The sequence below is a fragment of the Homo sapiens genome, chromosome 17 (assembly GCF_000001405.40).
Source record: "Homo sapiens chromosome 17, GRCh38.p14 Primary Assembly".
In the NCBI taxonomy this organism is placed as follows: Eukaryota; Metazoa; Chordata; class Mammalia; order Primates; family Hominidae; genus Homo; species Homo sapiens.
The window spans coordinates 32,077,359-32,100,539 of NC_000017.11; the positions used below are offsets into that span (position 1 = coordinate 32,077,359).

General features: G+C 44.7%; 2 long non-coding RNA genes across 2 annotated transcripts, besides 34 other annotated features; one reads left to right on the top strand and one right to left on the bottom strand.

Annotated features, from left to right (window-relative positions):
- Positions 4,575–10,885: a non allelic homologous recombination region, noted in NCBI's record as "NF1REP-M PRS2 recombines with NF1REP-P1 PRS2". NCBI's record gives the evidence for it as "EXISTENCE:nucleotide sequencing assay evidence [ECO:0000219][PMID:15236313]".
- Positions 4,971–5,101: a non allelic homologous recombination region, noted in NCBI's record as "sub-region SER1', recombines with sub-region SER1 within the NF1REP-P PRS2 recombination region". NCBI's record gives the evidence for it as "EXISTENCE:nucleotide sequencing assay evidence [ECO:0000219][PMID:26614388]".
- Positions 5,113–5,343: a non allelic homologous recombination region, noted in NCBI's record as "sub-region SER2', recombines with sub-region SER2 within the NF1REP-P PRS2 recombination region". NCBI's record gives the evidence for it as "EXISTENCE:nucleotide sequencing assay evidence [ECO:0000219][PMID:26614388]".
- Positions 5,511–5,575: a non allelic homologous recombination region, noted in NCBI's record as "sub-region SER3', recombines with sub-region SER3 within the NF1REP-P PRS2 recombination region". NCBI's record gives the evidence for it as "EXISTENCE:nucleotide sequencing assay evidence [ECO:0000219][PMID:26614388]".
- Positions 5,677–22,903, top strand: VILMIR (virus inducible lncRNA modulator of interferon response). Its single transcript, NR_199605.1, has 3 exons — positions 5,677–5,964; positions 17,704–17,843; positions 19,485–22,903. It is a non-coding gene; the product is annotated as a virus inducible lncRNA modulator of interferon response (long non-coding RNA).
- Positions 5,717–6,390: a non allelic homologous recombination region, noted in NCBI's record as "sub-region SER4', recombines with sub-region SER4 within the NF1REP-P PRS2 recombination region". NCBI's record gives the evidence for it as "EXISTENCE:nucleotide sequencing assay evidence [ECO:0000219][PMID:26614388]".
- Positions 6,211–6,226: a nucleotide motif, noted in NCBI's record as "nucleotide motif; similarity to the predicted 16-mer PRDM9 C-type binding motif, CCNCNNTNNNCNTNNC". NCBI's record gives the evidence for it as "COORDINATES:motif similarity evidence [ECO:0000028][PMID:21750151, PMID:26614388]".
- Positions 6,234–6,249: a nucleotide motif, noted in NCBI's record as "nucleotide motif; similarity to the predicted 16-mer PRDM9 C-type binding motif, CCNCNNTNNNCNTNNC". NCBI's record gives the evidence for it as "COORDINATES:motif similarity evidence [ECO:0000028][PMID:21750151, PMID:26614388]".
- Positions 6,344–6,356: a nucleotide motif, noted in NCBI's record as "nucleotide motif; similarity to the predicted 13-mer PRDM9 A binding motif (LD hotspot motif), CCNCCNTNNCCNC". NCBI's record gives the evidence for it as "COORDINATES:motif similarity evidence [ECO:0000028][PMID:19165926, PMID:26614388]".
- Positions 6,375–6,895: an enhancer, noted in NCBI's record as "H3K27ac hESC enhancer chr17:30410752-30411272 (GRCh37/hg19 assembly coordinates)". NCBI's record gives its function as "activates a minimal SCP1, AML or CMV promoter by ChIP-STARR-seq in primed H9 embryonic stem cells {active_cell/tissue: H9 hESC(primed)}" and the evidence as "EXISTENCE:reporter gene assay evidence [ECO:0000049][PMID:30033119]".
- Positions 6,391–6,720: a non allelic homologous recombination region, noted in NCBI's record as "sub-region SER5', recombines with sub-region SER5 within the NF1REP-P PRS2 recombination region". NCBI's record gives the evidence for it as "EXISTENCE:nucleotide sequencing assay evidence [ECO:0000219][PMID:26614388]".
- Positions 6,719–6,959: a non allelic homologous recombination region, noted in NCBI's record as "sub-region SER6', recombines with sub-region SER6 within the NF1REP-P PRS2 recombination region". NCBI's record gives the evidence for it as "EXISTENCE:nucleotide sequencing assay evidence [ECO:0000219][PMID:26614388]".
- Positions 6,963–7,700: a non allelic homologous recombination region, noted in NCBI's record as "sub-region SER7', recombines with sub-region SER7 within the NF1REP-P PRS2 recombination region". NCBI's record gives the evidence for it as "EXISTENCE:nucleotide sequencing assay evidence [ECO:0000219][PMID:26614388]".
- Positions 7,040–7,055: a nucleotide motif, noted in NCBI's record as "nucleotide motif; similarity to the predicted 16-mer PRDM9 C-type binding motif, CCNCNNTNNNCNTNNC". NCBI's record gives the evidence for it as "COORDINATES:motif similarity evidence [ECO:0000028][PMID:21750151, PMID:26614388]".
- Positions 7,403–7,415: a nucleotide motif, noted in NCBI's record as "nucleotide motif; similarity to the predicted 13-mer PRDM9 A binding motif (LD hotspot motif), CCNCCNTNNCCNC". NCBI's record gives the evidence for it as "COORDINATES:motif similarity evidence [ECO:0000028][PMID:19165926, PMID:26614388]".
- Positions 7,463–7,478: a nucleotide motif, noted in NCBI's record as "nucleotide motif; similarity to the predicted 16-mer PRDM9 C-type binding motif, CCNCNNTNNNCNTNNC". NCBI's record gives the evidence for it as "COORDINATES:motif similarity evidence [ECO:0000028][PMID:21750151, PMID:26614388]".
- Positions 7,596–7,611: a nucleotide motif, noted in NCBI's record as "nucleotide motif; similarity to the predicted 16-mer PRDM9 C-type binding motif, CCNCNNTNNNCNTNNC". NCBI's record gives the evidence for it as "COORDINATES:motif similarity evidence [ECO:0000028][PMID:21750151, PMID:26614388]".
- Positions 7,690–7,702: a nucleotide motif, noted in NCBI's record as "nucleotide motif; similarity to the predicted 13-mer PRDM9 A binding motif (LD hotspot motif), CCNCCNTNNCCNC". NCBI's record gives the evidence for it as "COORDINATES:motif similarity evidence [ECO:0000028][PMID:19165926, PMID:26614388]".
- Positions 7,700–7,814: a non allelic homologous recombination region, noted in NCBI's record as "sub-region SER8', recombines with sub-region SER8 within the NF1REP-P PRS2 recombination region". NCBI's record gives the evidence for it as "EXISTENCE:nucleotide sequencing assay evidence [ECO:0000219][PMID:26614388]".
- Positions 7,814–8,240: a non allelic homologous recombination region, noted in NCBI's record as "sub-region SER9', recombines with sub-region SER9 within the NF1REP-P PRS2 recombination region". NCBI's record gives the evidence for it as "EXISTENCE:nucleotide sequencing assay evidence [ECO:0000219][PMID:26614388]".
- Positions 7,939–8,459: an enhancer, noted in NCBI's record as "H3K27ac-H3K4me1 hESC enhancer chr17:30412316-30412836 (GRCh37/hg19 assembly coordinates)". NCBI's record gives its function as "activates a minimal SCP1, AML or CMV promoter by ChIP-STARR-seq in naive H9 embryonic stem cells {active_cell/tissue: H9 hESC(naive)}" and the evidence as "EXISTENCE:reporter gene assay evidence [ECO:0000049][PMID:30033119]".
- Positions 8,325–8,422: a non allelic homologous recombination region, noted in NCBI's record as "sub-region SER10', recombines with sub-region SER10 within the NF1REP-P PRS2 recombination region". NCBI's record gives the evidence for it as "EXISTENCE:nucleotide sequencing assay evidence [ECO:0000219][PMID:26614388]".
- Positions 8,410–8,425: a nucleotide motif, noted in NCBI's record as "nucleotide motif; similarity to the predicted 16-mer PRDM9 C-type binding motif, CCNCNNTNNNCNTNNC". NCBI's record gives the evidence for it as "COORDINATES:motif similarity evidence [ECO:0000028][PMID:21750151, PMID:26614388]".
- Positions 8,494–8,646: a non allelic homologous recombination region, noted in NCBI's record as "sub-region SER11', recombines with sub-region SER11 within the NF1REP-P PRS2 recombination region". NCBI's record gives the evidence for it as "EXISTENCE:nucleotide sequencing assay evidence [ECO:0000219][PMID:26614388]".
- Positions 8,656–9,038: a non allelic homologous recombination region, noted in NCBI's record as "sub-region SER12', recombines with sub-region SER12 within the NF1REP-P PRS2 recombination region". NCBI's record gives the evidence for it as "EXISTENCE:nucleotide sequencing assay evidence [ECO:0000219][PMID:26614388]".
- Positions 9,038–9,063: a non allelic homologous recombination region, noted in NCBI's record as "sub-region SER13', recombines with sub-region SER13 within the NF1REP-P PRS2 recombination region". NCBI's record gives the evidence for it as "EXISTENCE:nucleotide sequencing assay evidence [ECO:0000219][PMID:26614388]".
- Positions 9,961–9,973: a nucleotide motif, noted in NCBI's record as "nucleotide motif; similarity to the predicted 13-mer PRDM9 A binding motif (LD hotspot motif), CCNCCNTNNCCNC".
- On the bottom strand, positions 10,652–14,427 carry LOC102724625 (uncharacterized). Its single transcript, XR_002958140.2, has 3 exons — positions 13,341–14,427; positions 11,533–11,604; positions 10,652–10,882 (listed from the first exon to the last, which is right to left on the bottom strand). It is a non-coding gene; the product is annotated as an uncharacterized LOC102724625 (long non-coding RNA).
- Positions 17,428–17,459: a non allelic homologous recombination region, noted in NCBI's record as "sub-region R53520', recombines with sub-region R53520 within the NF1-REPb PRS3 recombination region". NCBI's record gives the evidence for it as "EXISTENCE:nucleotide sequencing assay evidence [ECO:0000219][PMID:22045503]".
- Positions 17,428–18,490: a biological region, named in NCBI's record as "NF1-REPc PRS3 recombination region". NCBI's record gives its function as "recombination_partner: LOC108783647".
- Positions 17,461–17,578: a non allelic homologous recombination region, noted in NCBI's record as "sub-region R85918', recombines with sub-region R85918 within the NF1-REPb PRS3 recombination region". NCBI's record gives the evidence for it as "EXISTENCE:nucleotide sequencing assay evidence [ECO:0000219][PMID:22045503]".
- Positions 17,581–17,611: a non allelic homologous recombination region, noted in NCBI's record as "sub-region D0710202', recombines with sub-region D0710202 within the NF1-REPb PRS3 recombination region". NCBI's record gives the evidence for it as "EXISTENCE:nucleotide sequencing assay evidence [ECO:0000219][PMID:22045503]".
- Positions 17,747–17,752: a nucleotide motif, noted in NCBI's record as "nucleotide motif; CGGGGC motif, overrepresented near gene conversions and micro-deletions and micro-insertions". NCBI's record gives the evidence for it as "COORDINATES:motif similarity evidence [ECO:0000028][PMID:22045503, PMID:19431182, PMID:16086312]".
- Positions 17,838–17,912: a non allelic homologous recombination region, noted in NCBI's record as "sub-region GUE', recombines with sub-region GUE within the NF1-REPb PRS3 recombination region". NCBI's record gives the evidence for it as "EXISTENCE:nucleotide sequencing assay evidence [ECO:0000219][PMID:22045503]".
- Positions 17,838–18,380: a non allelic homologous recombination region, noted in NCBI's record as "sub-region D0910711', recombines with sub-region D0910711 within the NF1-REPb PRS3 recombination region". NCBI's record gives the evidence for it as "EXISTENCE:nucleotide sequencing assay evidence [ECO:0000219][PMID:22045503]".
- Positions 18,382–18,490: a non allelic homologous recombination region, noted in NCBI's record as "sub-region N2603', recombines with sub-region N2603 within the NF1-REPb PRS3 recombination region". NCBI's record gives the evidence for it as "EXISTENCE:nucleotide sequencing assay evidence [ECO:0000219][PMID:22045503]".
- Positions 22,904–23,181: the final 278 nt, after the last annotated feature.

Consider the following 23,181-nt stretch of genomic DNA (forward strand, 5'->3'; position numbering starts at 1 on the left):
CAGGCCAGGTGCAGTGGCTCAAGCCTGTAATCCCAACACTTTGGGAGGCCAAGGCAGGTGGATCATTTGAGGTCAGGAGTTCGAGACCACCCTGACCAACACAGTGAAACCCCATCTTTACTAAAAATACAAAAAAATTAGCTGGCCGCAGTGGCGCAGGCCTATAATCCTGGCTACTCAGGCGGCTGAGGCAGGAGAATCGCTTGAATCCAGGAGGTGGAGGTTGCAGTGAGCTGAGATTGCACCACTGCACTCCAGCCTGGGTGACAGAGCGAGAATCCATCTCAAAAAACAAACAAACAAAACAACTAATTCTCCAAAGAACTCACTCACAATTGTGTGGACAGCACCAAAGAGATGGCGCTAAGCCATTCATGAGGGATCCGCCCCCATGATCCAATCCCCTCCCACCAAGCCCCACCTCCAATATTGGGAATTACAGTTCAACATGAGATTTGGCAGGGAAACAGATCCAAACTACATCAGTTCATCTATAATATATGATTTTTTATTTATTTTTTTTTTTTTGCCCCGAGGGAGGAAGAATTTTCTGAATCCCTGTGGTTAGTAAAAGAGAGAGGCGGCCGGGTGCGGTGGCTCATGTCTGTAATCCCAGCATTTTGGGAGGCTGAGGCGGGCTGATCACGAGATCAGGAGATCAAGACCATCCTGGCTAACATAGTAAAACCCCGTCTATACTAAAAATACAAAAAAAATTAGCTGAGCGTGGTGGTGCATGCCTCTAGTCCCAGCTACTAGGGAGGCTGAGGCAGGAGAATGGCGTGAACCCAGGAGGCGGAGCTTGCAGTGAGCCGAGATCATGCCACTGCACTCCAGCCTGGGCGACAGAGCGAGACTTCGTCTTAAAAAAAAAAAGAGAGAGAGAGAGCCATGATCAGGAAGCCGTCATGATGACTCGTGGAGACACTGGCCCTGAAGTAGCTGCAACCCTCTTAATACACAGGAAGAAAGGGCTGGGATGCAGGAAGGAAGGGCTGGGAGGCAAGCACAGGCAGCCCCTCTGTGAACCCTCAGGTAGGAGCCACCAGCCATTTTACTGCTGAGTTTAGCATTTGGGGTTGTTCAAGAGTTCAGGGCTTCTGGGAGACTAGAGAATGCCTTCATCTCCAGGGCACTAAAACCTCAGTTACCTAATCTGTGAAATGGGTATGATCATAGCAATCCCACAAAACTGCTGGTAGGGTTACATGTAATTATTTCTCCTTTTTTTCTTTTTTTAAGAGATGGGTTCTCCCTATGTATGTTGCCCAGGCTGGACTTGAACTCCTAGGCTCAAGTGATCCTCCCACCTTGGCCTTCCAATGTGCTGGGATCACAGTAAATTTTTTCTTGTAGAAACAGGGTCTCCCTGCTGGGCACGGTGGTTCACACCTGTAATTCCAGCACTTTGGGAGGCTGAGGCGGGTGGATCACCTGAGGTCAGGAGTTTGAGACCAGCCTGGCTGACACGGTGAAACCTTATCTCTACTAAAAATACAAAAAATTGGCCAGGCGCGGTGGCTCACGCCTGTAATCCCAGCACTTTGGGAGGCCAAGGTGGGTGGATCACGAGGTCAGGAGATGGAGACCATCCTGGCTAACATGGTGAAACCCCATCTCTACTAAAAATACAAAAAATTAGCCAGGCGTGGTGGCGGGCGCCTGTAGTCCCAGCTACTGGGGAGGCTGAGGCAGGAGAATGGTGTGAACCCGGGAGGCAGAGCTTGCAGTGAGCCGAGATCGTGCCACTGCACTCCAGCCTGGGCAACAGAGTGAGACTCTGTCTCAAAAAAAAAAAACAAAAAACAAAAGAAAACAAAAAATTAGCTGGGTGTGGTGGTGGGCACCTGTAATCTCAGCTACTCAGGAGGAGGAAAATCGCTTGAATCCGGGAAACAGAGGTTGCAGTGAGCCGAGATCACACCATTGCACTCCAGCCTGGGTAACAAGAGCAAAACTCTGTCTCAAAAAAATAATAATAATAAAATAACAATGGATTGGTTGAGAGATCACCGTATGCCAGAAGTTGCTTTAAGCATTTTGCATGTATTAATCCATTTTACACCTCACAATATCGCTACCAAGTAGAAACGATTATCTCGATTTTGTAAAAGGTGAAACAGGAAAAAACCACTAGAGCAGAGCTGGCAGACCCTCAACCTTCTTTTCCTTCTGACTCCAAATGACAGACAGCATTCTTTCCATCTCTCACCTCCTCATGCCTCCTGTGGAAAAAATGAATGAACAGATGAGAAAAGTTGGAGCTGGAGAAAGACCGTGTTCCTCGTGTTCTGTGAGACCTGGGAAGGCTGCTAAAACCCAGGGAGCAGGAGTTCTCCTCCCTCCATCCTTATCCACAGTCTGGGTCCCATCCAGACCCTCCTCTCCAAACCGGGGGTTTGCGACAAAGCAGGTGAGGGAGGCATTTCATTCCAGAGCAGAAGAAGGGGGTTCCTCCCCCATCCCACTCCCGTTTCATTTTTAAGGGGAAAAGCAGCTCCCCATACGGTGAGGCAATGAGGCGGACCAGCAGGTTCCTGGGGATCTCCGCAGCCCCGTTGCCATAACAACTGAACTCACTCGCAGCCTCTGATAGGGGAGTCAGCTGGAACCACAGCTTGGGCAGGAAACGGATGAGGGAGTAGGAAAGAAACTTCAAGATCAACCACTGGCCCTCACACCGAGCTGCGCACACCCCAAGGCCAAGTGAGGCTGGAAACCCTTGTTGTCCTTGGGAAATGGGGGAGGGCACTGGTACCCCTGGGACCTCCCTCCTGAATCTGGGCAGGTTTAAACATTTTTTTTCCAACTTTGGAAGACAGTTGTACAACCTCGAAGGAGAGGAGGTGTCAGGATTCACAAAGCGTATGGATCACACATGGCTCTAGGGGACATTCTCTTTGCTCTGTTTTATTTTTATTGTATATTTTATTCTTTTATTTTGCGATAGGGTCTTGCTCTATTGCCCAGGCTGGAGTCCAGTGGCATGACCACACCTTACTGCAGCCTCAAATTACTGGACTGAGGTGATCCTCCTGCCTCAGCCATGCGAGTAGCTGGGACTACAGACATGCACCACCACACCTGGCTAATTTTTAAAATATATATGTTTTTGTAGAGATAGGGTCCTGCTACATTGCCCAGGCTGGTCTCAAACTCCTGGCTTCAAGTGATCCTCCTGCTTTGGCCTCCCAAAGTGTTGGGATTATAGGCATGAGCCACTGCATCCAGCATCATTTCTTTTCATTATTATTATGATTATTATTTTGAGATGGAGTCTCGCTCTGTCACCCAGGCTGTAGTGGAGTGGTGTGACCTCGGCTCACTGCAACCTCCACCTCCCAGGTTCAAGTGATTCTCCTGCCTCAGCCTCCTGAGGAGTTGCGATTACAGGTACCCTCCACAATGCCTGGCTAATTTTTTTTTCTTTTTGAGACGGAGTTTTCCTCTGTGTCCCAGGCTGGAGTGCAATGGCGCGATCTCAGCTCACTGGAACCTCTGCTTCCCAGGTTCAAGCAATTCTTCTGCCTCAGCTTCCTGAGTAGCTGGGACTACAGGCAGGCACCCACCACACCTGACTAATTTTTGTATTTTTAGTAGAGACGGGGTTTCACCATATTGGCTGGTCTCAAACTCCTGACCTTATAATCCGCCCACCTCGGCCTCCAAAGTGCTGGGATTACAGGCGTAAGCCACCGTCCCTGGCCTAACCTGGCTAATTTTTATATTTTTAGTAGAAACGGGGCTTCACCATGTTTTCAAGGCAAGTCTCGAACTCATGACCTCAAGTGATCTGCTCACCTTGGCCTCCCAAAGTGCTGGGATTACAGGCGTGAGCCACTGCACCCAGCCTAATCTTTTTTTTTTTTTTTTTTTTTTTTAATGAAGACAAGGGCTCACTGCATCACCCAGGCTGGTCTCGAGCTCTTGGCCTCAAGCGATCCTCCCATCTCAGCCTCCTGAGTAGCTTGGATTACAGGCACAAGCCATCATGACTGGCTTCCTCTTTTTTTTTTTTTTTAATGAATATGGTAAAGTGCACAAATCATAAATTTCAGCGTGGTGAATTTCTACACATGTATACCTGTGTATCCACCATGCAGACCAGAAGAACATATTTGTCCCTCCAGGAAATTCCCAAATGCTCTTTCTCAGTCAATATCCTCCAATTTGACATTTTCATCATAGATTAGTTTTGCCTACCCCTGAACTTTGTGTAAGTGGAAATACATGGTTTGGCATCTTGCTTTTACGCAACATTGTATCTGTGAGAATCTATTGTCATGTCTGTTTTCCTGTTCTTTTTCTTTGTTGTATAATATTCCATTGTGGAGATGTATCACAATGTATTTATCTTACTGCTGATAGATATTTGAGTTGTTTGCAGTGAATGGTTATTGTAGATAAAGCAGCTATGAACATCCTTGTACATGTCTTTTGATGAACATAAGTTTACCTCTTGTGGGGATGTGGACAGGGTCTCACTCAGTAACTCAGGCTGGATCGCAGGAACCTGGCTCACTGTAGCCTCAACCTCCCAGGCTCAAGTGATCCTCCCACCTCAGCCTCCCGAATAGCTGGGACCACAGGTATACACTATCACACCCAGCTAATTTTTTTGTAATTTTTGTAGAGACAGGGTCTCGCTTTGTTGTCCAGGCTGCTCTTGAACCCCTGGTTCAAACTATCCTCCTGCCTCGGCCTCCCAACATGCTGGGGTTACAGACATGAGCCACTGTGCCCAGCATCTTGGTTTATTGAATGCTGGCGACCTGCCAAGAACTTTACATCAGTTATATCCTTACATAGTCACAACATTATTTATTTAATTCACTCATTCAACGCATATTTGAAAATCTAGTAGGTGCCAGGTATTGTGGGACACACCGAGAATAAGAGTCAAGGTTTATAAATTTTGGCCAGGCGCGGTGGCTCACACCTGTAATCCCAGCACTTTGGGAGGCCGAGACGAACAGATCACTTGAGGCCGAAACAAACGGATGATGGAGGCCAGGGCAGAAGCCAGGAGGCTGTGGCCAAGGCAACCTCAGTAAATCCAGGCAAGTGATGAAGGAGTTGGGAAGCACAAACGTGAATTCATGTTCTCTCTCTCTTTTTTTTTTTTTAGAGACAGGGTCTTGCTCTGTTGCCCAGGCTGGAGTGCAGTGGTGCGACCTCCGCTCACTGCAACCTCCGCCTCCCAGTTCAAGGGATTCTCGTGCGTCAGCCTCCCAAGCAGCTGGGATGACAGGCATGCACCACCATACCGGCTAATTTTTGTACTTTTTTTTTTTAGTAGAGACAGGGTTTCACCATGTTGGCCAGGCTGGTCTTGAACTCCTGACCTCAAGTGATCCACCTGCCTTGGCCTCCCAAAGTGCTGGGATTACAGGTGTGAGCCACTGTGCCTGGCCCTTAACTTGACTTATTTTTTCAAAAAGTTTTTTTTTTTTAATTTGAGACAGGGGTTTGGCTATGTTGCCCAGGCTGGTCTCCAACTCCTTGCCTCAAGTGATCCTCCCACCTCAGCCTCAGGTTCTTTGAACATAATTATTCCCAAATTACAAGTAGAGATAACTGAATCTCAGAGAGGTTAACTTGCCTAAGGTCACACAGCTATGAAATGGAGAAAGGGTAAGAAAATCCGTCTGACCTTCCTTCAGTTATGCAAAAGATGTCATGTGGTGGGTGGTGTGACCTCAGAAAACCTAGAGGAGTGGGGGTCCAGGCTGGTGGTGGGGTAAAAGACCCAAGTGAACACACCTGTCCTGCTGGGGTAACTACTCACCCCTAGGCCACAGGGCAAGCAAAGTGGCAAGCCGCAAATTGAATTGGGGGGCTGGAGGGGGATGTTTCATTGATGTCACAAATGAGCATGGACCCCATATCTGCAGCAGGGATGGTTCAGGGCCAGTCAAGGAGATGATCGGGGCCCACGGACCCTCAAACGCGTCAGGAAGCCAGGTTGGTCCCTGAGTGTGTGTGATGGGGTGTGTGTTTGTTGGGGGAACTGCCGCCGCCCGCCCCATTAGCAGCACCGTCATTATCCCAGATTTACGTATGTATAATTTTTCTTCCTCCCCCTCCCCAAACCGCTCCAACATCTCCCCTGGCTGCAAACCCGCCTCCCCCAGAAACAGCCACGGAGCCGCCTGCCACCGGGCCATTAGCACGCAGGGAAGGGGGTGTGGAGGGAGGGGGCAGGCAGCAGGGAAGGGGAAAGGGGGAGCCAGGAGAGGACGAGGGAGGCAGGAGCTGTATGGATGGGAGTGAGGCGGCAAGATGGAAGAGAAGAGGGGAAGGAAACAGGGCTTAGAGGAGATGGGGAACCTCTGAGGGTTCTGGGGGGAGGGGGGGACACGTGTCCCAGAGGACCTGGCCGCAGACAGAGGGCCCCAGGGGCAGCCGAGGGTCTCCTGCGCCCTTTCTGGCCAATGCCAGGGCTGAGAATAGGGAGGTGGGGGTCCCATCGGCCGGGACTCTGTGGCTGGGTCTCAGCCCAGAAGTTACTAGAGGGCCTCGCGCCGGAACCCCTCCCCCACTCTGGGAACCTCCGCCTGCGGGGTGGGGTGGGGGTCTCCAGGCTGGGCGCGGGGAGGGCGCCGGCTGCAGAGCTGGGAGCCCGGAGCGATGACTCCATCACCCTCCACTTTTCACTCCTCACCCCCGAACCTGGCCCCCTCCCTTCTTGCGCCCCTCGGGTTGGGGGCGCGGGAGAGCCCCCTCTATTACGAGGGAAATCATTGCCGCATTAATGCGAGGTTTCCAGGCAAGGAGAGGGGATCGCTTCATAAAAGATGCATTGTTCCCATTGCCTGCACGCGGCTCCCTCCCCAGCATCCTGCAAGATGGCGGCGGCCCCAGGGAGGGAGGGGGAGGGGCTGGGGGGAGCGCGGCCCCCTCTCTCCGGCTGGGGAAGGTGGGAAGAGCGGCCGGGATAAAGGAAGGGAAGGGAGAGAGGGAGGGAGGGAGGAGGGGGCTGGGAGGGTGAGAGAGCGGTGGGGAGGCGGGAGCCAGTCAGAGGGAGGAGGGCGGGCTGGGGAGGAGGAGAGAGGGGATGGCTGGGAACTCGGAGGAGGGAAGAGGAACGAAGCCCAAGGAGGTGGCACGGGGGAGGCAGGAGAGCAGGCCGGGGGGTTGGGAGTGGGGGGCGCTGGGGCCTGGAGGGGGGCAGGCGGGGGTGGGGGCAAAAGGGGAGGGAAAGGGGAGAAAAAGGCCGACTGGGCAGCGTGACCAGGAGAGAGGGGAAGACAGTACCCCCTCAACTGTCCCTAGGCTCCAAGCCCCCCTCCAGCGGGGCCCCTTGGTTCTCTCTCTTGGTCCCCGTACACCCTCCCGCCGAGGAGATGATCCAGGGAGCCCCCATTTTCTGGCATGGAGGCCGCTGCACCCCATTGGCTTGCCTCCCTACCCTCCTTCCTGCCTTGGCACCACGGCTGCCATGCTGAGAGGGATCAAGCCTCCTCCATCTGCCTCCCAAGTCAAGGCCTCCAGAGTTGACCCGAAAGAGCTCCTTAGGAAGAAACTGCCGTTTGGGCACACCTGCATCCGTCCTACCTGCTGGGGACGGTTCCAGAAACCAGACAGAGTTTCCAGAGAGGGAAACTGGGGCAGAGGACAGCCGAGAACTCAACACGGGGGGGCAGCGCCCCACCCGTGACCCCAGACCAACCTCAGCCCCCCTCCTCCCCGCCTTTTCCTCCATCCTCCGCGGGCAACCACGAAGAGAATTTCAAGGCCCCCCACTTCCCAGCCTTCCTGCTTCGCCTAGGGGAGCTCCCAAACGCCTGAAAATATCTTTAAATTAGGAAAAAGAGCTAAGCCGCCAGAGTCCTTTGGTCTATTAAAGGAAGAGCAGAGGCCACCGGCGCCCCCACCCCATCCCCAGCCCGGTTTTGCATTTGAAGCCCTGACCGCGGATCTAGCCGGAACAATGACCGGGCCTGCCCAGCCGGCCCCAGCTGAATCCCTTTCAGTGGTCCTGGGCCCCCTGCCAGGTGTGCCAAAATGAGGACGGCTCCCCTCCTAGGCGCTTTTCATCCCCTCGGGGCTGCTGGGGCCTCAGAGGCGCTAATGAAGCGCCTCTTGCCGCCCTCCCTCTAGGAAGAGGGGGCCTGGGGGAGCGGGAGGCAGGGCCACATTGGGGGCAGGCGCCTGGAAATCTGCCTTCCAAGAACTGCCCCAGGAACATGTTTTTGTGCCTTGGTCAGCGGCAGCTCCCTCCCTCCCTGCTCCTCAGGGTCCTCCCACAGGTTCTGGTGACATCCACCTCCTCCAGGCAGCCCTCCCAGCCTGCTGGCATTGGCTCCCTACTGTGTTTCCTTTGGAGTTCGGCAGTGGGGGCAGGCTGCCTGGATTCAGATTGGAGCTCCATTGCTTTCTGGCTGTGGCTCAGTTAGCCACCCTGAGCCTCAGTTTCCCTACCCGTCAAGAGAGGAGAATTATAAAAACCTATGTCATGAGACTGTTGTGAAGGAGTCGCTGTGTGAAGAACTGTGGAAGGTCACACGTGCAAAGTGGGTGCAATAATCCCTAGACTTTCGCCTCAGCCACAGGGGCCCCTCACTGCACCCCAGACACACCCAGTGTGTGCCCATTTCTGGGACTTCCCACTGGCTGTTCTCTTTATTTTATTTGTATTTTTTCTTTTGAGGCAGAGTCTTGCTCTGTAGCCCAGGCTGGAGTGCAGTGGTGCAATCTCGGCTCACTGCAACCTCCACCTCCTGGGTTCAAGCAGCTTCCTGAGTAGCTGGGATTACCGGCGCATGCCACCACGCCCAGCTAATTTTTGTATTTTTAGTAGAGACGGGGTTTCACCATGTTGGCCAGGCTGGTCTAGAACTCCTGACCTCAGGTGATCCACCTGCCTCGGTCTCCCAAAGCGCTGGGACTACAGGCATGAGCCACCGCGCCGGCCTTTTTTTTTTTTTTTTTTTTTTTTGAGACGGAGTCTAGCTCTGTCGCTGAGGCTGGAGTGCAGTGGCCTGATCTCGGCTCACTGCAAGCTCCGCCTCCCGGGTTCACGCCATTCTCCTGCCTCGGCCTCCTGAGTAGCTGAGACTGCAGGCGCCCGCCACCATGCCCGGCTAATTTTTTGTATTTTTAGTAGAGACAGGGTTTCACTGTGTTAGCCAGGATGGTCTCAATCTCCTGACCTCGTGATCCGCCCGCCTTGGACTCCCAAAGTGCTGGGATTACAGGCGTGAGCCACCGCCCCCGGCCTTTCTTTTTTCTTAAGATGGAGTCTCACTCTGTCACCCAGGCTAGAGCATAGTGGTGTGATCTCACCGCAACCTCCGCCTCTTGGGTTCAAGCGATTTCTCCCACCTCAGCCTCCCAAGTAGCTGGGACCACAGGCACATGCCACCACACCTGGCTAATTTTTGTGTTTTTATAGAGATGGGGTTTTACCATGTTGGCCAGGCTTGTCTCAAACTCCTGACCTCAGGTGATCCGCCTACCTCTGCCTCCCAAAGTGCTGGGATTACAGGTGTGAGCCACCTTGCCAGGCCCAGTGGTCCCTGTTATTTACCATCATCTGTCTTACAGCCAGCTGACATTGTATTACTTACCTGAACTCAGGATCTTAGGCTCTCGAATCCAAGAACCTGGGTTCAAATCCCAGCTTCACAGTTATTAGCTGTGTGACATTGGGCATGTTACTTAACTTCTCTGAGCCCCTTTCCTCATTTATAAAATGAAGATGGTAATAAAACCCACCTGGAGCCGGGTGCAGTGTCCGGAGTCTGTAATCGCAGCCACTCAGGAGCTCAAGGTAGGAGGGTCCCTTTAGGCCAAGAGTTTGAGACCAGCCTGGGCAACATAGCAAGACCCTGTCTCTACCAAAAAAAAAAAAAAAAAAAAAAAAAGCCAGGCACAATGGCTTACACCTGTAGTCTCTAAAAAAAAAATCCACAAGGCCGGGTGCGGTGGCTCAAGCCTGTAATCCCAGCACTTTGGGAGGCTAAGGTGGGCAGATCACCTGAGGTCACAGGAGTTCGAGACCAGCCTGGAGGGGAGGTTGGAGTGCAGTGGCACAATCTCGGCTCACTGCAACTTCCACCTCTGGAGTTCAAGCCATTCTCGACCCTCAGCCTCCCGATAGCTGGGATCACAGGTGCCTGCCACCACGACCTGCTAATTTTTGTATCGTTAGTAGAGACGGGGTTTCGCCATGTTGGCCAGGCTGGTCTCAAACTCCTGACCTCAAGTGATCCTCCCAAGGTGCTGGGATTATAGGCATGAGCCACTACGCCCAGCCCTACACTTTGGATTTAACTTTGATTCCTGCTCATATGCAGAGTTTCAAACTGCTTAAATGTCTGCAACATTTAGCTGCAAGGAAGAAAGCTTAACACAAAGTCCTCCAGGGAGCAAAAAACTGCATCACTACGCCCAGCAAATTTTTTTGTATTTTCAGTAGGGATGGGGATTCACTATGTTGGCCAAGCTGGTGTTGAACTCCTGACCTCAGGTGATCCGCCCCCCTCAGCTCCTAAAGTTCTGGGATTACAGGCCTGAGCCACCCGCCCAGCAACAAGGCTAATTTGAGGGTCACTTGTTTGATGGCTTTTCTTGCCCATGCCATAGGTCAGAACTAGGATAAGCAGAGCAGGTCATATATAAGCTGTGTAAGTCTCTTGGCCGCTTTGTACCTTAGTTTCCCCATTTGAGAAAAACGAATGGATCTTAAGACACACTTTTCAGAGTTCATAATGGGCTTATACCCAGCTAACCAATAATTGTATGAGTTTTTATACAAAATAGTTGTTTACACGTATTCATCTTCTATTTCACTTACAAGTTGTGTAAAAACTGCATTCCGTGCCAGGCCTGAAATGTTCCAAGGCTCAGTTCTGTAATTAAATTGCAGCCCAGATTTCTACAAAAAAAGACATAAGCCAAAGGAAAAAAAAATTATTTCAGAACATTTATCATTTGCTGTGAGTCTAATTTACATAGGATGGAACATCACCTCAATCCTTTCTCTGTGCACTAAGGCAATCTCACTGTGGAAGATACTGGCTTATGATTTATACTTTAATATTGCACACGTGATACATTAGCTACAAAACAGTGAACGCTCAGTAAATACCTGTGTTAAGTGATCTTCATTTCTCTAGAACAGGATTTCACAACTTCAGTACCATCGACATTTTGGACTATATAACTCTTTGCCGTGGGGGTTTGTCTTATACTCTGCAGGATGTTTAGCAGCATCTCTGGCCTCTGCCCACCAGATGCCAGGAGCACAACCACAGTTTTGTCAAGCAAAAGTGTCTCTGGACATTACCAAATATCACCTGAGTACAAAATCACACCAGTTGAGAACCACTGCTCTCTGATGATTCACTATGATCTGTGTAATAATTCTCACACTAATCTTTGCTAGAGACAAGAAGGACTTGCTATATAATTTTAGTACCTTTCTACTGGTCAAATTTTAATCATATTTCAAAATGAATAGCAAAGAGGTTTATAATTAAGTTTTATAAAAATTCCAAATGTAATAAAGTTATATTTGTAACTTACATATACTGCAAAAATGGTAGTGATTCAAATGTATGTCTTTCAATATATCGTATTTTATTGCAGGATAAATCTCTAGGAAAAATAAAAGGAAAATATTGCCTTGATAAGTTATCAGTGTTGACTGGTATGAATAACAGCAAGAGTTTAGAATAATATTGAATACACATTTTTCATCTCGACTCTAAACATTTGGACCTGTATTTGAACTTTCCAGAGCTCCTAACCCTGCCTGTACCTCTCCTAGAGTCTCACCTTCATACTTTTAATAAACAAAATATACAACTTAATAGACTTTGGAATTAATTTTTCCTGAGAGCAGTAGACTTGATTAGATGCCCTTTTGTAGTCTCATCAAATCCTAGATTATGAGCTCAAAGCTTTTATCTCTATATATAGTTTCTAATATTAAAACGAATAGCCTCACATTTATACACCTTCCTAGTTTAGCTTTGTTTTCCTAAGCCAGTTCAGTATCAGAATAAAAGACATCCTTTCAACAGCATTTGAAAGGAAGTTACCCCTTTACTTAATACATAACTTTGAACTAATATTCAAATCATATTAATACAATTAATTTCTATCATATTAATAGAAATTCATTTTTGGTTTTATATTGCTTTAATATTTCATGAAAGCAATTTCTTCAGTTATACAGAGATGGGGCTTTTCCCTCCCTCTTTACCTGGATGGTGTAACGTTGTCTGGCTGATGTCTCCATCTCTAGTCTCTCCCTTCCTAAACTATCCTCCACACAGTCATCATATAAACTCTCCAGAAGTGGCTTGCAAAGACCAGCACCTCCTGGGAAATTATTGAGGATGCAAATTCTTGGTCCCACTCTAGACCAACTGAATCAATAACTATGAGGACGGAGTCCAGAACTGAGTTCTAACGTGCCCTCTCAATGACTGTGATGCAGATCCATCTTACAGCACTGCTGTGATAACATGGTTCCCCATCATGGCTCCTCAGCTTGGCATTCAAAGCCCTAGAAGATCTGGCTCCAATTTCCTACTCTCCCTCCTTGTAATCTACAGGTACTCATGGCATTCCTCGAATACTTTCCTGTGTTTTGCCCTTCTCCCATTTCCCTTTTGCAAGTTTAGAATATTGTCCCCAAGATGTCTGTCCGATGCTACACAATGGCCCTTCAAAGTCCTATTCAAATGGGATTGTTCTAGTAACAGCTTCCTGGGTCCAAACTGAAGTCATTTTCCCCTCTTCTATGCTTCAGAAACAATTTACCCCTCCTAGTGCCCACATCCATTTCTTCTTCTTAATGTAGTTATTGTTCATCCCATTTTTTCTGAGCATAAACTCCTTGAAAGCATGGACTAGGTCTTGCTCATCTGCATTGCCCACCATGTTTAAAACTGACACATGGAAATAAAGTAAATTAAAATATTTGTAAAACAAATGAATAGCTGGCCGGGCGCAGTGGCTCATGCCTGTAATCCCAGCACTTTGGGAGGCTGAGGCGGGTGGATTACAAGGTCAGGATATGGAGACCATCCTGGCTAACAAGGTGAAACCCCGTCTCTACTAAAAATACAATAAATTAGCTGGGCGTGGCGGCGTGTGCCTGTAGTTCCAGCTACTCGGGAGGCTGAGGCAGGAGAATGGAGTGAACCAGGGAGGCAGAGCTTGCGGTGAGCCGAGATCGCACCACAGCACTCCAGCCTGGGTGACAGAGCAAGATTCCGTCTCAAAAAAAAATAATAAATAAAAATAAATAAATAAATAAATGAAAAGCTGGGGGAGTGAGTAGTAGGAAAATGATTATTTTAAAGCAAATGTAGTTTTATTACTTCATGGCCTCTGTAGCACTTTGGCATCCACTTGAGGGTCTTTACACCCACTTTCCTTAAGCCTTTCACATTTGAAAGAATCTGTCTGCAAAAGAGCATCACTAATAAGGATTAATGACATACACACCTCTGCGGACAGAGGATAAGAATCAAGCTTTCATAGCAATTGAACATAGTATCTTCTTGTCTCTAAACAGACAGAAATACTATGCAGGTATCCCTTTCTTGGTAACAGGGCTGGGGAGATAGTTACTGTGTAATTAGTGAAGAGTTAGGGGCATTTCTGATATGCTTCTTACTGTAAACATTTCTAGCTCTACCACTTAACCATCATTTTAAACATCTGTTTTAATATAACAATTCCTGAAATGAAATCCTTAATACTAGTCTATTCTCTTGGTAGCTTAATATTCTTGATAATATTATTTCTATAATTCAGCTGATTTCAAATATTTAAATGTTAATTTAATGCGATTAAATTACCAAAAAATTCTGGATTAATGATGTTCAAATGAATGTAGGTGGTCTATATTTTCTTCTCCTTTAGGCAACAATCTGAAGTTAACTTTAATTCCTTTCATCCTACTAAACCAACTTTTTCAAATCGTTTTTTGTGAAGGTCAGACAGTAAATATTTTAAGGCTCTGTGGGCCACATATGATCTCTCTCGCATATTTCTCTTTCTTTTTTCTTTCACAGTCCTTTAGAAATGCAAAAACCATTCTTAATAGGCTATTAAAAAATAGACCTTAGGTTAGATTTGATCTACTGGCTGTAGACTGAATAGAAGAAGATGGTATGTAAACCCTTATAAAACAAGGTTCATATGGGTGTCAGTCACTGCTCAGATCTTCTTACCATGTGAAATTTTTTCTGTCTGTATTTTGTCTATACAATTTAAAAACTGAAAATGCATAGGATGTAGCTAATGCTAGAGATGGGCTGAGACCCTATACAAACTTACAGAATTGCAGAATTTTATTGCTGGAAGAAATCTTAGAGATTATCTAATTTGAACCTCTTATTCATTTTAAAGATAATATGACTAAAAACTCAAAAATATGATTAACTAACTTATAAATACTGGAGGGATAGCAGGCCTTCAAATGAATCCTTATGTAATTCAGTCAAATAATTTTCACTGAGAATTCTGGAAAATGAAAAAGTTATTTCTAGGTTAAAATGCAAACTACAACTATTTGCTACACAGGACTATCTCCTGCATGTGGAGGAAAGCTGGGTCATGGTCATTTCAAGATGATGGGATCTGCTCTGGTTTCGTTCAAACCTTTTCTTCCATTTTCCTTTTTGTGTCCATCCCTCTCCACCACCACCACCACACACACAGGCAAGCACACACACACACTTGCAAGCACTCACACATATGCAAGCACAGACACACACAGAAGCACACACACACAGGCAAGCACACACACACATAGGCAAGCACACACACACAGGCAAGCACACACACACACTTGCAAGCACACACACACATAGGCAAGCACACACACACAGGCAAGCACACACACACACTTGCAAGCACACACACATGCAAGCACACACACATGCACACACACAAGCAAGCACACAAACACAAGCACACACAAGCAAGCACACACACACGTGCAAGCACACACACACAAGCACACTGCTCCACTCTTCCCACCAAATTGTATCTTTAATGACTCCTCTCTAGATCATAATATACCTTTCAGAATCCAACTCTGGGTGGCACCAAGATCAGCAGAACCTCCATTTCCTCCTCTCTTTTCCCAAACCTTATTACAAAAGCCCCACATGGGACCATGTCAGGGCTGCAAGTGAAGCCATTCAACTTTTTTCCCCCATCAAAAAAATTTGAGAACTACAATGTGCATAAGGTGCACATAACGTAAATGTTGTTTATATTTAATTTAATTTAATTTAATTTAATTTCTGAGACAGGGTCCATTCTGTTATCCACACTGGTCTCAGACTCCTGGCTCAAGTGATCCTCCTGTCTCTGCCACCCAAAGTGTTGGGATTGCAGACATGAGCCACCTCACCTGGCCAAATATTCAGTTTAATAATTATAAAGCAGATACCCATGTAAACATTGTTACAAAAGATTATTGCTAGCATCCCAGAAGCCCCAGTGTGCCCCTTTCCAACCATATTCCTCTCTCTAACCCTAGTAGGTAACCACTACTCTGACTTTTGTAATGACTTTCTTGCTTTTAAAATGTAGTCCTGGCCTGGCGTGGTGGCTCATGCCTGTAATCCCAGCATTCTGGAAAGCCAAGGCACATGAATCACCTGAGGTCATGAGTTCGAGACCAGCCTGTCCAACATGGTGAAACTCTGTCTCTACTAAAAATAGAAAAATTAGCTGGGCATGGTGGCGGGCACCTGTAATTCCAGCTACCCAGGAGGCTGAGGCAGGAGAATCCCTTGAACCCGGGAGGTGGAACTTGCAGTGAGCCAAGATCGCACCATTGAACTCCAGCCTGGGCAACAAGAACAAAATTCCGTCTCAAAAAATAAATAAAGCAATTCTCCTGCCTCAGCTTCCCAAGTAGATGGGATTATAGGCACCCACCACCATGCCTGGCTAATTTTTGTATTTTCAGTAGAGATGGGGTTTCACCATATTGGCCAGGCTGGTCTCAAACTCCCGACTTCAGGTGATCCACCTGCCTCGAACTCTTGAGGTGCTGGGGTTACAGCTGTGAGCCACTGCACATGGCATTGTTTGATTTTTAATTTAGAACTTATGTATGTCTTGTCTATATAAGTCAAACTAATGATGTGACACAAACTGTTGTGAAAAATGTTACTTTGAATGTAAGCATTTTTTCCAAAATCATTTATGTGTCTCAACTAATTCCTTCTATAAATCAGGAAGAAAACGATAAAACAATTCAACAGGAAAATGAACAAAGGATAGAAAACTCAGAGAAGAAACACAAATGTTCAATAAACATATAAAGATATTTAATTAAATTCATGAGTGATCAGAAAAATTCAAATTTGGATGGAATCCCTTTTATTCATCCATAAATTCAACAAAAAGTTGGCAAATTCCCAACAGTGAAAAGGTGTGGGGAAATGAATGCTGTCATATTCTGCTGACGATACAGTCAGTTGGCACATTTTTGAGGACAATTAAAATTTTATATCTACATAGTCTTCACCCCAACTCTTCCATTTCTAGATATCTATGCTACAGGAATACTTGCCCACGAAGCATAAGCTCAACATTCATCAATGGGGAAATTATTAAATAAACTATGATGCATCCATACTATGGATTATGCAGGAGTTTAAATGAATGGGGTGACCCTCTAAGTCCTAGGAAGGAAATTATGAAGTGAAAGAATATCATATAAGTGATACCATGAAGTGAAAGAATCAAGTTGCAAGATGTTACCCTTTATGAAAAGAAAAAAGATTTTAAAAACCACACAACAAATCTATTTTGCTTTATGTAAATATGTATGTAGGTAAATGGGGAAAAGTCTGGAAGCATGTATACTAAACACACAGTAGCATTACCTCAGGGATGAGGGAGTAGGGCACAAGGAGGGTTTTTGTTATACCTGTTATTGCATTTTTATACATTAAAAATAGAATCACGGGCTGGGGGTGGTGGCTCATGCCTATAATATGAGCACTTTAGGAGGCCAAGGTGGGAGGATCACTTGAGCCCAGGAGCTCAAGACCAGCCTAAGCAGCATAGGAAGAGCCCGTCTCTACAAAAAATACAAAATTAGGTGGGCGCGGTGGCATGCACCTGTGGTCCCAGCTGCTTGGGAGGCTGAGATGGGAGGATCACTTGTGCCTGGGAGGTGAAGGCTGCAGTGAGATGTGATTATGCCACTGCACTCCAGCCCAGGGGACAAAGTAAGACCTTGTCTCTGAAAAAAAAAAAAAAGAGGAAAAAAAAGAATATAACCATGTATTATTTGTATGATAAAAAATAAATTTAAATTGCTTCTTATTTTAGAGAGAGCCTACCAAATTTAATTTTAAAATAACCATAGGATTGCAATCCACAGAGGCTGATTTGGGGCATGGAGGGGAAATATCTTTTCTCAGAGGTATGGACCTCAAAATTCTGGACCAAGAAGGATCTTACAATGCAGTTAGTTTTTTGTCATATTTGGAGAGAATATACTCACAGTTTCTCGGTCCAACTGTATGCTTTCCATACATTTCCATCAATGTATGAAATATAGTTTCCTTGGAAATTTCTGCAAAGAAAGACAGTTTATATCCTTGAATAGGCACGCAAAGAATGAACAGGATAAATAAAAGAATCATGGCAATCTTGTCGGGGATATTCAGAAACAGAAAATAACACCTGCTTTCTCATTTCCAGAGCTATCAGCTTCCCAGTTTGCACACTTCATCAAGAAATAATGCGGGGCCACTGGCACAAATGATGAGGCATCTCCCGGAAGCTTAACTTCCTATCCATCCCATCTCTTGGACAGACGATGCCAGTTAATTACTTTGAATGTAAGTATTTTATCCAAAAGCACTTATGTGTCTAAACAAACTCCTACAAATCAACACAAAAATGGTAAATAATTCAACAGAAAAATGGGCATAAGCTTATCTTTATCGATAAATAAGTAGAAAGAAACCCTATGCCAGGTAACACCAAAGCTTTGCCCTCTGTTGAAACATCCTAGGCTTTTTCTTTCCACTCTTATTACAACTGATCTGATTTAGCCCCTTCACACTTTACTCCTACATTTTGCTAGACCTTTCTATTTTGTCTCCCTGAAATAAGCTTTTCCTTTTGGGCACTCTACGTATGGATTCTAAAATAATCCTTTGCATGTCTATACTTGAACATAAAGCAAAAAAAAACAAAATAAAATAAAATAATCTTCCTGTTTTAATCATTTAATCTCTCTTGCTTGGAAACTTTCAATGGCTTTCCATACCTCATTGTGTACTCTTTAAGACCCAAGTAAACTTTTAGCTTATCCATGTAGCTTTCCCTGATCTCCACACCTCAAGGACCACAGATTCTGGTAAATTCTAGCACCGATGGTATGCATTATCTTTCAGGAATTAATTATATACACCGCCCTTTTTATGCCTATTCTCTTTCTTCCCTCCTATCATCTTCATGTTCTGCGGACAATAGCATACTTGGTCCTGGGTTTGTCACAAAATGAGTGCTACATATAAAAAGCCAGGGACAAAGAGGAGTTCTGGACATAACTAAAGGACAGAGTAATCATGTTAACAGCCAACACTCCTACATATGCTAGGCACTGATGAAGTGTTCCATATATTCACTCACCTAAATTTCACAACAATCCTATGAAATGGTAACTAGCATAATCCCCAGTTTAAAAGGAGGAAATTGAGTCACAGAGCAGAATAACTTGCTCTGGATCACCAAGCTAATAAACAGACCTGGGTTCAAACCCAGGCAGCCTGGCTCCAGAATCAATTCTTAACCACTTAGAGCATCATCACTGAGATCGGGAGAGTGACAGGCTGCTGTAAAGAGGGTGAAGCGGGCCAGGCACGGTGGCTCACGCCTGTAATCCCAGCACTTTGGGAGGCTAAAGTGGGTGGATCGCCTGAGGTCAGGAGTTCAAGACCAGCCTGACCAACATGGAGAAACCCCGTCTCTATTAAAAACACAAAAAATTAGCCAGGTGTGGTGGCGCATGCCTGTAATCTCAGCAACTCAGGAGGCTGAGGCAGGAGAATCGCTTGAACCCGGGAGATGGAGGTTGCGGCGAGCCGAGATCGCGCCACTGCACTCCAGCCTGGGTGACAAGAGCAAAACTCCGTCTCAATAAATAATTAAAATAAAATAATTCTAAATACATTCGGCTCATCATATTGTTACATTGATGATCTTAAAGTTGATTGAGATGTAGCTGAAACTGGCTTCCACAAAGTACTCTCATGTGGCTCTGAATTTTGAGGTCATCTTTCTCTGTATCAAGTTTTTTAGATGTCCTTTCTCAGAGTAAATCAAGTTTGAGTAAGACCTGCAGGGATCTCTTGTGAGCACATATATTGAGTTTTAGTGCATAAGCTTTGTTTTAACTTTTCACTGGGTAGATGCAGCTGTCAGATAAGTGGCATTATGTCTAACATATAATGTATTTCCCCCCATTTTTAAAGAGAAGAAGATACAGAAAATGAAAATGAAAATAAAATTTGGTACTACAGTGCAAAGGTTCAGCTTGCAGAATTAATTGACTGTCTAGACAAAGATTATTGGGAAGCAGAACTCTGCAAAATTCTGGAAGAAATGCATGAAGAAATCCACCGACACATGGACATAACTGAAGACCTGACCGATAAGGCTCGGGGCAGTATCAAATCCTTTCTGGCAACAGCTAATGGCAAGAGGGGCATTTTCTCATTTTATTTTTGTTAAGTCTGAGCTAAACTGTTGGTATGAAATCACTGCAAAATTTAAAAATAGATTAAAATTTTCTTTTCTTTCTTTTTTTTTTTTTTGATTTGGAGTCTCGCTCTGTCGCCCAGGCTGGAGCGCAGTGGCACAATCTTGGCTCACTGCAACCTCTGCCTCCCAGGTTCACGCCATTCTCCTGCCTCAGCCTCCCGAGAAGCTGGGACTACAGGTGCCCACCGCCACCACGCCCGGCTAAATTTTTGTATTTTTAGTAGAAACGGGGTTTCACCAAGTTAGCCAGGATGGTCTCGATCTCCTGACCTCGTGATCCAACCGCCTTGGCCTCCCAAAGTGCTGGGATTACAGGCTTGAGCCATCGTGTCTGGCCAAAAATAGATTAAAATTTTCAAGTACAGTCATGCATTGTTTAATGATGGGGATACATTCTGAAAAATGTGTCATTTGGCGATGTCCCAATTGTGTGAACATCATAGAGTACACTTATACAAACCTAGATGGTATGGTTTCCTATACACCTAGGTTATATGGCATAGCCTATTGCTGCTAGGCTGCAAACCTGTATGTCCTGTGACTGTACTGAATCCCGTGATCAGCTGTAGCACAACGGTAGGTATTTGTGTATCTAACCATATCTAAACATTTAAAAAGGTACTACATAAAATCTTATGGGATCACCGTCATGTATGTGGTTCCTCGTGGACTGAAACATTGTGCAGTGTATGGCTGTGTGTATATTTTACTTTAGTTCTCCATATTTCATTTTCCGAAGAGAACCTTGTTCATTCCCACATAAATTAGGGATGCTATACATTTTAGTGTTTTATTTCTGCCTTGGGTCATTACTAATATTCCCCAAAATGTTAGTTTTTTTCTTTAATTCAAGTATCTTTTTAAACTTTTTTGGCATTCCAGCTTTTAAGAAATAATATTTTTTGAACTTTTTGCCTTTTTAAAAAAATAAAACTTTAAATTTTAGAATAATTTTAGATTTGTACAAAAGTTGCAAAGATAGTAGAGGGTTTCCGTATATCCTGTACTTGGTTGCCCCAGTTATTAACATCTTAGATTAGTGTGGGATATTTGTTACAACTAATGGGCCAGTGTTGACACACTGTTATTAACTCAAGTCCATACTTTACTCAGATTTCCTTAGTTTTTACCTGATGTCTTTTTTCTGCCTCATGATCCTATACCACATGATATTTAGTCATCATGTTTTCCTCTAGACTGTCGGTTTCTCAGACTTTCCTTGTTTTTGATGGCCTTGACAGTTTGGAGGAGTACTGGTTAGGTATGTTGTAGAAAGCCCTCCTTATGGGTTTTTCTCATGGTTAGCCTAGGTTTTTGCATTTTGGGGAGGAAGACCACAGAGGTGATGTGCAGTTCTCGTCTTATCAAGAGTGCATGCTGTCGTCGTGACTTATCACTGATGATGTTAACCTTGGTCCTCTGGGTGAGGCAGTGTTTGTCAGGTTTCCCTACATCCTCCCCCATCTCCTCAAACCCCCAATACTGTAAGTCACTGTAAACAGCCACACTTAGTGGGTGGGGAGTTATGTTCTACCTTCCTGAAGGGGCAATATCTACATAAATTATTTGGATTTTTTCTGCACAGGAGATTTGTTTATTCGTTTATTTTTTCAGACATTTATTTCTATGAGTATATATTCATGGATATTTATTTTATATTCATTGGGTTATAACTGGTTATTTATTAGGTTATAATTCAATGTCACCTTATTTATTTTGTTACTCAACTCTGCTTTTCTTTTTATTTAAGTTTTAAAAACATACATACCTTAAAAGTTTAAATAGTATAAAAAGGTATGCTGTGAAAAATGAATCTCTCTCCTTCATAATCTCCAATCTGACCTCCTTTCTCCAGAGGCAATCATTATTGCTATTTTTTCATCCTGCTAGATGTATTCTGTGCATGTTTAATAAATACCACCTGTGTTTTCTAATATAGCCATCCCTCAGTATTCTCAGGGATTGCTTCCTGAGCCCTCTGCAGATAGCAAAATCTGTGGATGCCCAAATCCTGCAGTCAGCCCTATGGAACCTGCTGATATGAAAAGTTGGCATTCCACATCCAAGAGTTCTGCATCTTGAGAATACTGTATTTTCAATCTGAGGTTGATTGAATCCAAGGATGCGGAACCTTTGGCCACAGAGGGCCAACTGCAGTGCCTTTTAAGTTTTAACTTAGATAAAATTGTTAGGTAAGATTCTGCAAGTACACTTTTAAGTGCCTGGTTCTGAGTTCTGCTCTTCTGCATACATTATCTGCCATACATATAATCCTATTAATTTTCCCCATTCTCCATTTGCTTAAAAATAGAATGTTTATATTTAATTAAGACACCCAGATAGCTGCATCCAAGCTTGTTCTCACATATTCTGCATCAATATTCCTGTGAATTCGTGCATATTTTTGGAGAATGATAGGCTCTCACATATAAATAGTGTTGGGCACAAATATACTTCATCTGCAGAAAAAAGCATTCTTAGTTACTGTGAATTATATTTATTCATATCTGGTAGTTGGAAGTATTTCTCTATTAGATCTGTTTAGAAAAATGTGTAATTTTTTTATTAGAAAGGTTTTAGTGTTCAGGAGTTAGGATCAGTAATTGCAATAACACAATCACGGTCTTACTCTTTCCTCCATATATATCAAATCATAGGAAATTTTATTAATTTCAGCCAGCTTACTCCCCCCCTTCATTTCCTTTTATGAATCATGGCATTAAAATAGACAAATCCCTTTTTGCTCTCTCGTGTTTTGGTACAATAACAGATAACAATCTTTAGTCCCCTAAAAGGCAATGTGAGATATGATTTTATAAAGTATGTTGAATTAGAAATGTTTCCCAGAGTAAAAAATAAAAATAGAAAAAAAAAAACAAAAAACAATCAGAAGAATAAATATTTTCAAGGGCAAGCTTGTCTGTGTATAAAATTATATATACAGTATAATCATAATTAAAGAACAAAATCAAAACAGGAATGGATAATCAAAAGTGTTAAGTGGTCTGATTTGGGGCAATGTAAAAAACTAAAAATGTTAATATAGGGCAATTGGAAAATTTCATTATGAATTTTCATGTGATAGAACACTACGTATTGGAGAATTAAGTAAAGTACCATGCAAAAACTGTGCCTGGGTCATTGAGCTACTTAAATTCTCTTCCTCTAAATAACCAACTGGATCAGCTTTTATCGTTGAAAAATAACCAATTAGCATAGTAGAATTGTAGTTGATTTCCATTTCATATTTTTGGCATTTCCTACAATGAGCATGTTCTATTTAAGTATAATTCAGCATGTAATGTATGTTTAAAAATTAGTTAAACCTTTTGTAGTAATGGAGAACAACAAAGAGAGCATTGAGCTTTAGGCCACAATGTGTTCTTAGAAAGTTAGATGACTACCGCT